A 12,890-nucleotide genomic window follows, 5' to 3' on the forward strand; every position below is an offset into this window, starting at 1 on the left:
AAGGCTCCTGCTAAGCGTTGGGTGTTATGAGGAGCCACGCTCACCACAGCGGAGGGCCAAGCAGCTCCAACCATGCGAGGTCCTCAACCATGCGAGGTCCTCAGTCCTGTGACCCAATAACCGTGCGGGGTCCTCAGCCCTGTGACCCAATGGCAATGGAGGAAGCCACTGATAAAAAAAAAAAGCTAAAAAGGTAACTTACTGCTCTACAGTGAAAATGGTACAACTGTGTGCGAAGAGAAGCGCTGGAAGCTATTTTGAGAATGGTGAGTGGACCTGCTGGCAACCTCCTCACAGCTCAGTCCTCAGGGCACAGAAGACAAGGACAGAAGGGCAGTCCACCTAGAGGGAGGCCCACACAGCCAGAGGATGCCTCGGTGGGCTGCACGGAAGCAAAGGCTGCGGGACCAGGCACCAGCCTGGACTCCTGGGCACAATGGGGCGGCCCAGGGCCCGGACAGGTATGGCTGCCAGAGGGTCCTGTAGGCAAACGTTCCTCAGAAAAAACACGAGGCCCCCAAAGCAGAGGAGGGATCACGTGCCAACAATAACAGCCTTTGGGAGAAGAGAAAACCAAGCGCTCACCTTGAAATAGAAAAGCCTTTATTCTATGGACCTAACGTAATTGACGCCAGCCCCAAAAGAGACATTCTAGAGTCTGGGTACTATACTATGGTGAACTAAACAGAAGAATCCCAGAACAGAACAACAAACAGGCACAAAATGAGCAAAAGGATGCATAAGAAATTCTCAGCTGTGTGCACAGGAGTAAGTTTCTAAGAGAAAGAAAAGCTTAATGGCTCTCATTCAAGTTGCCCAAATGTAAAACAGGATAAAAGGGGCGAAGCTCTGCAGACAGGAGCCACAAGAAGTTCAGGGGATGAAAAGGGCCCTGAGACCATGGGGACCCGCTGACCTGTGTGGCATCATGAAGACACTGCGTCACTCCGAGCACAGACGTCCATAAGAGATGAACGTCTTTGTTTTAAAAGAAAATTGTACAACAATTCTGTGTCTTATTTCAACTGTCTGCTGTTCTGACTTGGATGTGCAGGGGAAGGGCAAGAAGGCTGAGAACCAGCTGCCAATGTTGTGGCAAGAGGGTCTGACCCTACTGTCTGCTTCGTGTAACCGGAGCGTGTCAAGGTCAACTGCAGAGACACACGGCAAAACACAGTGGCAATGACTTTCTATCAACGTCTCCAAATCCGATTTAGTTTTAAAATTCCTCTTTCACCAAATATGGGACACACCAGCTCTACTTCCTCACCCTGCCAACCTAGATGTACACAGACCATCGCTCGTAAACTCCCTCCTCACCATGCCAAGCCTGCATTTGCCCTGGGTTTTGCTAGTTCTCCTTCTAGATAGGCGGATTTCTTCTCCTACATTTATTTCTTAGTCATAAAAACATCTTTGCTGCCTGGACCTTTCCCCAGACATTCTTTGGCAACGATCACGGCTGCTACCTACCAACTCTGCAGAGGAGCTGGCCGGGGACCCTCGGGGCAGACAAGGCCTCTGCAGGTACCGTCCCTCCCTTCACAACATCAGGGAGGAGTGTTTAAGTGCCAATAATCTAAAACAGCCCTTTCAAAATGCTGCATTTGATGGCCTAGCGCACAATTAAATGGCTCCCCGCCAATTTACAAAATGCAACAAAAACATTTCTCACTCTCATCATTCAGGCTACCTTTACTCTTCAACACAGTGTAAGATCTAAACCATTCTTTTCAAATAGTTTCTCAGGCCCAAGTTAAAGAGAAAAATTTTATTCTGTGCCTTAAATTTTATCAACTGATTATGTGAGAAAACACAGACAGCACAAATGATAACGTCTCCTTAAAAGGAAACAACAGCCCAGTGGGAAAATCAAGTGTTCCGGGATTTGTGAATTTTACGGAACTGGCGCTAACCTGAGCCTCCGTGCACACCAACGCTGCTGCCCGTGTCTGGGTCTGTGCCTGTGCCTGTGCCTGAGCCTGAGCCGTGACGGCAAGAAAGCGGGGCAGCCCTCACCGTGGCTTACCTTCCTCGCCCGCCTCCGGCCCCAGCGCAGCTCCGTCCTCTTCGAAGCCTTCCAAGCCTGGCCCCGTGGGCAGGGGCTGGCTGTGCTGCTGGCTCAGCTTGTTTCGGAGAAGGGCAATTTCCTTTTTGAGCAGCTTTGCCCGCTTGCTCCGGGAGCCGCTGGACTTCATAGCGCAGGTGAGGTCGAGCATGTCCAGCAGCTCTCTCAGCTGCTCCTCCAGGCCCAGGTGGGCTCTGTTGGCGGGGTCCAGCAACCTGTCCACTGAACCAAAGGACACATGCTGTCAGTCATCAGGTCCCACGCACCTTCTGGGAACACATCACCGGTCCCGTCTTTCAAATCACCTTCGGCCAAGGCCCTGAGAGTGGCTGTTAGCAACGAGGCCCAGGCCCTGCTCACCAGAGGCCCCTCCCCTGCACTCTGAACCCACGAGTAGCTGCTGCTACAGGAACACACTGGGATGCTCCTGATGGAGAATTTCTACTCCCATGACACTGTCAGCACAGAAGGGGCAGCGTCCAGGTAAGATCGCAACCTCTCCTGGACCAGGACCCACTGAGGCTGCCTGTGCAGACAGCCTGGCTGCCTGGGTGAGGGCACAGCACACAGACCCCAGAGAGAGGCGCACGCTCCACCAACCCAGCACAACTCAGCTGGACCTGCGCTGGCTCTGCAAACAGAGGTGACGACTGGCAAATGTGTTAAGTTAGGGCCATTGCACGTCCTAAGTGGTGTCTTAGCTGAAGTCTTCAGATGCTGATCATTGTGTGGCTTTAGTAAACGGGTTGTAAAATTCACAGATCATTCTGAATTTCAGACGTATTTACTACAAAGTCCCTAGAAACTTCGCTTTCAAAAACACCAAAATTTATAAAGCACAAATTACCTTAAATAAGTAAGAGATGGCCAAGAAAAGAAACTGCTCCTCAGAGCTATCTGAAGATAAAACCAGAGCAAGAAGGAGAGAGAAGACAAAAAAAAAAGTAAGACTGCCCAAAAACACATGAACTCTCTTCATCTAGAAACAGGTGTTTTACTGAAAGCATCTGTCTCTTTGGCTGAATAAATAAAGTAGTAGAGAGAAACAAATCAGTCCTTCAAGACTCGTATCCATAACATCACTCTGAACAAATGTCATAGATAATACTCAAAAATGTTCATACAAAAAAACATATCCTTTGAAACCCCAAGAAGAAAGCCTCGAAACGTCTGTTTCTTTCAAAACAGAGACCCACGGCCTCCAGGTCTGTGGCTCAGGCTCCAGGCAATGGGAGGTGTCGGCCGTGCTGAGAAGAGCAGCAGGTGCACCCTCAAGGCACACCATGGCCACTGGCTCACCTGTGCACTCCCAAATACTGAGAAAGAAAGAAACCAGGACTTCTCATCCTTCATTTTCTCCTTAGCAAAAAAACCCGGGTGTAGAAATTCACTTAACAACTTGCATGACCATGATCTGAAAGGCGCTGACACTCAGAGGCCTCCACACCTGCTCTGTTCGAGGGAGGTGGCATGGTGCTGGGAGCATGATGTGGGGGAGCACAGGAGCAGGGCCCTAGGGGCAAAGGAGGCTCCGGGCTGCTAAGAAGACAGGGAGTCCAAGAGTGATGCATCTTCCTGCTTTGAAGGGCAGGCAACCAGCGTACGTCCTGAGCAGCCAGCAGCGGGCACCAGGTGGGCGTCTGAGAGCTGATGGCAGGCAAGGCATCCAAGCCAGAGCGTGATGGCTGTGGGAGGCGGGGGAAGCTTTCCCACGGTCACCAGAGGCTAGAGAAGGACCTTCCAGGACAAGCATGAGCCCATGGAGCCCTGGGCTCACTCTGAGGCGGCTCAGCCCTGGCTCCTCTCAGGTCCCCAAGGGAATGTTTCGGAAAAGGATAGCTGGTCTGATCAGCCTGGAGAGCGCAGCTTCAGAGAGGGGTTAAAGCTCCACCCGGGTTCACCAAGAGCCAGCAGCACTGTTTGGAGCCTGTGTTTATTTTCTAAATTTCTCCAAGAAAAACGTGTTACTCTTAAAATCAGAAAATCAGAGACAAAGAATAAAAATATATTTCCATTGTGTTTTCTTTTTTTTTTTTTTGAGACAGTCTTGCTCTGTCGCCCAGGCTGGAGTGTAGTGGCGTAATCTCGGCTCACTGAGAGCACCGCCTCCCGGATTCACGCCATTCTCCTGCCTCAGCCTCCCGAGTAGCTAGGACTACAGGTGCCCGCCACCATGCCTGGCTAATTTTGTTTTTGTATTTTTAGTACAGACAGGGTTTCACCACATTAGCCAGGATGGTCTCGACCTCCTGACTTCGTGATCCACCCGCCTCGGCCTCTCTCTTTTTTCTTTTTTTTTTTGGAGATAGGGTCTCACTCTGTCACCCAGGCTTCAGTGCAATGGCACAATCTCCGCTCACTGCAGCCTCCACCTCCCAGGTTCAAGCGATTCTCCTGCCTCAGCCTCCGAAATAGCTGGGATTACAGGCATGCGCCACCATGCCCGGCTAATTTTTTGTGTTTGCAGTAGAAACGGGGTTTCTGCATGTTGGCCAGGCCGGTCTCAATCTCCCGACCTCAAGTGATCCACCCGCCTCGGTATCCCAAAGTGCTGGGATTACAGGCATGAGCCACAGAACCTGGCCCTATCCCCAGTCTTTAAAAGAGTACAGCCCATCCTCCAATCCTCACAGGTGCCGAGTGCTGCGGGACCCCACGGGAAGCAGGGAGCCCAGCACTGCTGCCATGAGGGGAACAGAGGGCGAAGCAACGATGGCCCAGCTTGGTTGAATCCCATGATGGCGGGAAGCGGACCCCACGATGGCGGGAACGTGGACCCCGCGATGGCGGGAACGTGGAAGAGAGGAAGAGGGCCAGGCCTCATCCCAGAAGAAGCGACCTAGCACGGGTCAGTGATTCATCAAGAGAAAGGGTAGGCCAAGAAATCAGGGATATGGGACCTTTAGACAAATAAGCCAAACACACCGTGATTTCTGCTCAGTTTGTGGCTCAGAGCTGGAGCTGAGGTGCTGGAGCTCTATGTGCTTTGACAACCCATGTGGGCAGGACACACCCTTCGACAGACAATCCCAGAGGTGCGACTAACAAGCAGGGTGCAGGGGACAGCCCCGGTTTCCGAGGACCAGTCTAGAGAAGGGTGCAGGTGACTACACATGGCTGCAACACGTGCCTGGGCAACCAAGAAGCACAAGCCCAGGCTGGAGTCCAGGTGGGCCGTGGACACACTCCCAGAGCCCTTTCTACAACATGCGCAAACCACGAAGTTAAAGGGCTGGAGGCAAAGCCAGAGATCCTCCGGCTTCACGCCACCCTCAGAAGTTAGCCGAGGCCCACTCTGGATGAAAACCCCCAACTAAGCTGCTTTCTGGGTCTGCATCGTCGAGACCGGCCACCCCATAGGGAGCCACAGCCACACAGTCCTCTTGGTGGGCACCCAAAACGCAGCCAGTCTGAAGTGACAGGTGCTGAGCGTAAAATACACATCAGATGGCAAAGAAGGTGAAAAGCTTATATATCCTCAGTAACGTTTACCGATCCCATGTTGAAATCAACTCTTCCATACACTGAGTAAAATAAGACATATTATTAAAGTAAATTCCACCTGCTTCTTTTCCATTTTTCAGTGAGGCTACTAGAAAATGTAAATGATGTATGCGGTTGCATGCTAGTGGCTCCCGGACCATGCTGATAGGGAGCTGGCAACACAGAGCAGGACAGAGTCTGCTAGAAAGAGCGTCTTCCACCTCCTCCGGACACGGCGCCAGTTCTTACCGTCTTCCCAGGAGAAAGGCCGCCGCGGTGCCGCAGCAGGCCGCTCAGGCAGGTGCATCCCCGAGGCCTCTTCCAAGCCGATGCTGTCCACCTCGCGCCGGGCCTGCCTCAGAACAACACCTCCCTGATCGCGCAGCCTCACCGCGGCTCTATAGAACACGGTGTCCCTGGCATTGTACTTCATGCAGTTATCTATAATGAGATCAAAATCCTCCTCAAACTCATGGAGGTTTTTATACCCTTGAGCTTCTAACCGTTTCCTCATTGTGGCAAAGTCCATGGGATGTTTAATGTGATCCAAATAATCTGGTACCTAATTTTAGGGAGGAAAAAGAATCATTTACAAACTAAAACAGGATATTAGTTGACTCTATATTTATTATTCCATATAACCCACAAGCCCATCCTATCTGAGAGCCACACACAGACACGCAGACGGTACAGACATAAGACCCAAGTACTGCAGGGACCTTCCCGACCCCAGCTCCTTCAGCTAAAGCACGCTGGAGGGTGCCGGGCGGATGCTGCCACAGCCCAGGGTACTGTCTGCACAGGGCCTCTTGCCCACTGCACTTTCAGTATTTTACAATGAAATGTATCACTTTTATAATTTAAAAACAAATACGTTAAATAAAAACGAGAATTAAGAACACAAGGGATGTACTCTAGCCAATCACACGTTTCCCGGTCAAACGGCAGCACAAATCCACAGTCACACATGCGGCAGGACAGACGAGCGCCGCAAACACCCACCTCCTTCAGACTCACGGGCTGCGCAAATATCCTGGCGGGGTCCTTGTCTTGCAGCTGGTCCAGCACTGAGCGCAGCAGCACCGTCAGCGGGGTCAGCCGCAGCTCCATGGCGACCTGCTCCACCTTCACCTGGGGGGGCCCAGCAGAGCCTCAGCTTTAGGGAGCCGCACATGCGTCTCAGCCCCACCACGCGCCCCACAGCCACAAGCAGCCCCCACAGGCTCCTGTGCTTCCGTCCAGGCATAGGACAACGCAGCCTCCACTTAGGGCTCTGCAACCCATGGCAGCCAGGCACCCAGCCTGGGCTGAGCAAGGCACTGCTGTGGGCCAGGACCCACCGGGTGCAGCCCACCCTCTGCAGGAGCTGCCAGCGTCCCACCCACGCCCCGTGGCCAGTGGTGCACTCCACGCGGGACAGGCCCAGCCCCACCTGCTCACGCTTGAGCTTCTCCCGCTTGCGCAGCAGCTCGATCAGCAGGCGAGCGCGCTCCAGGTCGTGCCGCAGCCGCTGCCAGTACTTCAGCTTCTCTTTGGCAGCCTTCATCTCCTCATCATTTTCTCTCTGAGAACAGTGAACACTTCCGTCAGTCAAACCCAGAGGCTCCTTCTGCAAAAGGCCTCAGATACCATGCAGGTGAGACCCCAAGAGGCATCCACGTCAGGGGTCCTGCAGGCCCATCCTGGGGAGGACAACAGACCACCCTCACTAGAGAGCCCCAGGACAGCACCGGGACAGAGGGGACAGAGGAGACAGAGGGGATGGAGGGGACAGAGGGGACCGCCAGGCCAAGGTGAGCAGGGGGCTGGCCCCGGTGCACAGGTTCCACCCTCCAGAGAGGACAGAGGCCTCCGCAAGCTGGCGGCGGGGGGGGCCTTCACAGAACCAGAAAGGCCCACAAAGGCGGGGCCAGGACAGAATGGGGGACCCTTGAGGACCCACCTCCAGGACAGCTGGGAATGGAGGGAGCGGCTGGAAAGAAACCAGGTGCACAGAAAACCACATGCTGGGCCCATCCTGGCTTGGACAGAGCATGACGGGGGCCTGGCACACAGCCGACCTGCTGCCCTGCCCTGCACAGCGCCTCCATCCCGACACACGTTTCCCCACAGCCAGGGTCCCATTTCCATTGATAGCACCTGCTCCCTTCTCAGTGGACAGAAGAGTGCGCCAGACAGCACAGGCCGCCAGCCTCAACCCAGCCAACATCCACACCAGGGTGATCAGAAGAAAATCAGAGCCCTGCAAAGGCCATGACACAGATGGTCGCAGGAGAGTAGGCCACCTGGGTCTGCCCTCAGCCCTGTCCTCACCATGTCCCCCAGGCCTGGCCGCATGAGGCCTGCTCGTCACAGTGCCGGGGCACCCTGACCCTACCTCAAAGGGGAGAGGAAGTCAACGAGGGAGTTGGCCTGAGTGGGCCCCCAACACCTGTCATCCTCCACAGCTGCAGGACACGCGCGCCCTGCCAGCCTCAGGACAGCCGTGGCCATCAGTTTCTGGCACATGCTTCACAGCCCTGAGACCCTCCTCTCCCCCAACGCCTCTGTCCCCGGGTTCCCACCTGCCCACCTCAGGGTACTGTCATAGCTTTTCAAAGGACCGAGGGTGTGAAGGCAAAGACTGCTGGACTACAAGATGCAAGGACCCCGGACTCCAAACTGCTCAGAAAAGGAGGCTCAAGGAGGGAGGCCGAGCCCCGCACCCCCACCCCCAAGGCCAGGCCTCTCCATGGCGAGGCAGAGCGTTGCTGCGCTGATGTCCCCTGAAGTGAGGATCTCTGGGTTTTCCTCAATGCTGCTGAACACCCTCAGGCAGGAAATCGGGGCTAAGAGTAACAAGATCCACATCAACTCAAGCAAAGGCAGGAAAATGTGGGCTCCAAAAACCAAGCTCCCCGGAGCATCTGAGTATTGCCTGTCCCTCAGCTTGCAATCGACACTTCTGAAAACCTCGGCCAAAAGGACATTTGGCCTGGGAATCTGTTACGAAGCGGAAGAAATCTCCTCATCACCAGGAAGCCCTTTATCACGCACTGGCTGCTAAGCAAACTTACTAGTCTGCTCCCCAACCTGGTTTAACAAACGCCATCGGCAGTGGCAGGGGCCCCGTTGACAGCACCTGGGCCCAAGGTCCCATGACACATGCAGCCTCATCCACTCAGAAGGATCAAGGTTCCTTACTCGGCTCTCAAGGGCTCGATATTTCCCATGTAAAAATCAACAGTGGGAGGCTCCACGAGAAAGGACAGAAGTGAAGAAGCACTCAGGCATCCCCACTGCCGGGAAGAAGCTGAGCGCCTCCGCGTCCATTCCAGACACATGGGGGAGACACAGGGCAGGGCTAGGCGACGGTCAGGTTAAAATCGCCTCTGCTGGGAGGACAGGCCAGCTCCTGGGGTGAGGGCCCACAGTGTTACAGAGTGGCCGACCCCAGGCCTCCTGGCAACAGCACCCAGCTCCTGCCACTGGGCCCAATGCCGCCAGCAGGTGCGTGGGACTGGCAGAGGCCACACACGCAGCACAGCAAGGACGATGTGGGCAGCAGCGCCCAGCATGCCACAGGACAGACACTGGGAAAGCTGCAGGATGCGCTCCCAGGACAGGAAGGGTGGGCCACGGGAGCAGGAGACAGTGGGACGCCACCAGCATACACACAAATCGCTGCTCACCCTTTATAAAGCTAAGCTGCCGCCCCCGTTCTCCCTGCGGCCTTCAACGGCCACACACACCAGAACAAAAACCAGGGCCTATATGCGCAGCCAGCACAGACCCGCCATCGCTGCAGCACCCTCGGCGCCTGCTGGCCTCTCAAGAGACCCCGTCCAGTTCATCCACCTGCCCCCACCACAGGGTCAGGCTGGGGCAGGTACACAGAGACACAGAGGAATCAAATGCATCAGGTACTTCCAAAGCTTCAAAACCATGAAACCACACCAAGCCGTGGCCATCCCTGGCCAGGAGAAGGCAGAAGCACAGTCTCTCCCAATAGCCCGTTCACACAGAGGCAGGTTTCCAGGCTCTCCACGCCGACTGCTCTGCTGCGGCTCAAGTCCAGGCAGCTCCTTCTGCTCCTTCCCAGGTGACTTCGAGAAGCTGCCCCCTCTGCCAGAAGAGCTGCTCTGGCCGGGCTGTGGGGATGTTCTCTCCTTACAAACGTATTCTGCACACAACAGGACGTGAGGCCTAACAGGCAGCGATGAAGCAGAGGGGGCCCAGCTGGCAGGTTCCAGCGGGTCACCTCTTCTTTGCAACCCTCCCCCTTCCCTTGCCTGGCTCCACCACGCCCCAGGCCACCCCCAGCTGCCTGGGTCCCCGTGGCCCCTGCCCACTGGCCCACGTGTCCTGCTACTGCAGGGATTCTGGCCCTCGTGTCCCAGCTTATGAGAGTAGAAATGATGATTCCCACCGCTGGACGTCCCGTTTGGCCACATCCATGCCCACTTTCCATGGAATCTGCCCTTCAACAGCTCCTCTGTGACTTACCTGGAGTTCTGTCCAGCCCCGAGATAAGACCCAAGATCTGAACCCTCAACTTCCTCCCAAAAAAGCCTCTCTTCCATTCCCCAACATCGCAGGGGCGGAGACCAATGCCTCCACTCTCTTCCTTTCCCCAACATCGCGGGGGCCGAGACCAATGCCTCCACTCTCTTCCTTTCCCCAACATCGCGGGGGCCGAGACCAATGCCTCCACTCTCTTCCTTTCCCCAACATCGCGGGGGCCGAGACCAATGCCTCCACTCTCTTCCATTCCCCAACATCGCGGGGGCCGAGACCAATGCCTCCACTCTCTTCCTTTCCCCAACATCGCGGGGGCCGAGACCAATGCCTCCACTCTCTTCCTTTCCCCAACATCGCGGGGGCCGAGACCAATGCCTCCACTCTCTTCCTTTCCCCAACATCGCGGGGGCCGAGACCAATGCCTCCACTCTCTTCCATTCCCCAACATCGCAGGGGCCGAGACCAATGCCTCCACTCTCTTCCTTTCCCCAACATCGCGGGGGCCGAGACCAATGCCTCCACTCTCTTCCTTTCCCCAACATCGCGGGGGCCGAGACCAATGCCTCCACTCTCTTCCTTTCCCCAACATCGCGGGGGCCGAGACCAATGCCTCCACTCTCTTCCTTTCCCCAACATCGCGGGGGCCGAGACCAATGCCTCCAGCCCCCAGAGCTTCCCGCCGCTCAGCCACTTCCTGACTCTGGCCTCTTAAGAGCCCCCCAAACCGTGCTGTCCTTTCCAGGAGCCCTGGAGGCTACGAGGTGAGGACAGAGGAGAGATGGAAAGCCAAGTCACATCATGGAACGGAAGATGCGGTTAACTCATTCAACAGCCAAAAGACATTCACTGAAGCCTCAACTCTGTGGACACGTGAGGATCTCACTTGGAGAGGGGCTGGCTCACAGACCTGCCCGGGGAGCCCCAAGTTCCATGGACAGACACACAGTGGGGCAACCCAGGTGGACGGCACGGGAGACCTGGAATATTCCACAGCCAAGACGCACCAAGGCCGTCAGAAAACTTTGGACCCCACCACACCAAATCAGACCCACAAACCACCACCTGCCAGACCAGAGCACCAGACTCTGTAGTTCCCTGGAGCACAAGGCAGCCACGGCAGGTGACTGAACAGGGCTCACGCTGCAGAGGCAGAGTCTGCGAGGCAGAGACAGCACCGGCCACCGCACCACCGCACGGGGACCCAACCGTGAACCCTGTAGACTCAAGCTTCCTGTGAGCAAGTCACCACCTCACAGCAGAGCAGGATGGTTTCGCTTCGTGCCCAGGATGGCAGTGAAAAGCACCATGAGGAAATTCCAAGAGGCACTCAGGCCACGCGACGCCAGCAGCAGACAGCTCTTCCAAAAGACCAGCGGCTCCTCACTAGGCAGCGTGGGCAGAGGGCGCTGGCCGCAGGTCCTGGGCCGTGTGCAGAGCTGCTTGTGTTTTCAATTACTTTTGTGCATCTCACAGAAGCTACTTCACTCTGTAAACCCATTTTTTCAGAACTGTTTCACAGTATCAGATGAGTCTATAAACTCAAACCTACTATCAAAATGTAAGAGTTTGGGTTTGTTCTTTTAAAAAGGAAAAGTCCTGCTCCTTCCCTCCCACTCTCTCAGCTCTCTCGAGCCCTCCCCACCCCACCACAGTCCCAGCTAAACCAACCTTCAGAGCAAGGCCCTCGAAATAAACCACTCCTCACATATTTCCAAAACCCACCCTCCAGGCCCAGCACACAGACCCCCACCCACATGGCCCGGGTGTGCTCACCGGGTCCCACTCCTGCTGTCCCCAGCCCGGACGCTCATGCAGCCACAGCATAACACATCCCTGAGCATCCCCAGTCCCCAGAGCTGGCCACTGCCCATCAGCGTGTGTGCGGGCAGGGCAGGGCGGGGGAGCGCAACTCAAAACGGAAGAAACACCCAGTGACAGGCATGGATGAGAATCACCCCCCGAGTCGCAGATCCAGAGCCCAGTGCACCCGACTCCTCCTACAGCTCCAGGGCTGGACGAGACGGAGGCTTCCCAACGGGGAGCCTGAGCCCAGGGGGCAGCACCGTGACCAGCCTGAACCAGGTGCCCTCTCCCTGGAGGGTGGGGGTGAGAGACGCAGAAAGGCTGTGGGGGCCACGAGCCACGTACCTGCTGTGAGCTTCGCTGAGACTGCAGGCTGGACTGCAGCCGCCGCAGCAGGGGGGCCCCGTTCCTGGACAGCCGCTTGAGCAGCCAGTAGCTGTGGGCTCGCTCCACAAACTGCTTCTTCCGCTGAATGGCCACCTGATTCGCAATCCTATTTAACCTAAAACACAAACACTCAGTGTATCTTTGAAGCAGTACATTAAGATGTTTCATCACATAAACTAGAAATGACAGTACTACTGCTAACAAAACCATGTGTTCATACTTTTTCTCCCTAAGCCATGACACCTGTATTTCTACTATCCCTAGTGCTGCTAAAACAAAATTCACGATCTCCAACCATTTGAAGATTTCATCCACTTTTTAGGTTGGGCACAGTGGCTCCTGCCTGTAATCCCAGCACTTTGGGAGGCCGAGGTGGGGGGATCCCTTGAGGCCAGGAGTTTGAGACCAGCCTGGCCAACATGGTGAAACCCCGTCTCTACCAAAAATACAAAAATATTAGCTGAATGTGGAGGTACATGCGTGTAGTCCCGGCTACTTGGGAGGCTGAGGCAGGAGAATCGCTTAAACCTGGGAGGTGGAGGTTGGTGTGAGCCGAAATCGCACCACTGCACTCCAGCCTGGGTGACAGAGCGAGATTCTGACTCAAAAATAAAATTAAAAAAAAAAGATTTCATCCACTTCTCATTCA

General features: G+C 55.3%; 1 protein-coding gene across 33 annotated transcripts in view; it reads right to left on the bottom strand.

Moving 5' to 3' along the window:
- The window catches only part of BRD1 (bromodomain containing 1), a 54,596-nt gene that overhangs the window by 18,727 nt on the left and 22,979 nt on the right, over nt 1–12,890 (bottom strand). For 25 of the 33 annotated variants that reach the window (NR_146334.2, NR_146335.2, XR_007067961.1 and 22 more), the window contains 5 exons: nt 12,200–12,356; nt 6,984–7,115; nt 6,554–6,682; nt 5,801–6,113; nt 2,030–2,290 (listed from right to left, as the gene is read on the bottom strand). Coding sequence is in view for 26 of the 33 variants with exons in the window: in XM_047441274.1 (XP_047297230.1) it covers nt 2,030–2,290; nt 5,801–6,113; nt 6,554–6,682; nt 6,984–7,115; nt 12,200–12,356 (992 nt within the window). In the remaining 7 variants the exon portion in view is untranslated. The remainder of the gene's footprint in view (nt 1–2,029; nt 2,291–5,800; nt 6,114–6,553; nt 6,683–6,983; nt 7,116–12,199; nt 12,357–12,890) is intronic. The other 8 variants (XM_047441277.1, XM_047441276.1, XM_047441273.1 and 5 more) reach the window with 3 other exon arrangements.

The sequence above is a fragment of the Homo sapiens genome, chromosome 22 (genome assembly GCF_000001405.40).
Source record: "Homo sapiens chromosome 22, GRCh38.p14 Primary Assembly".
NCBI lineage: Eukaryota > Metazoa > Chordata > Mammalia > Primates > Hominidae > Homo > Homo sapiens.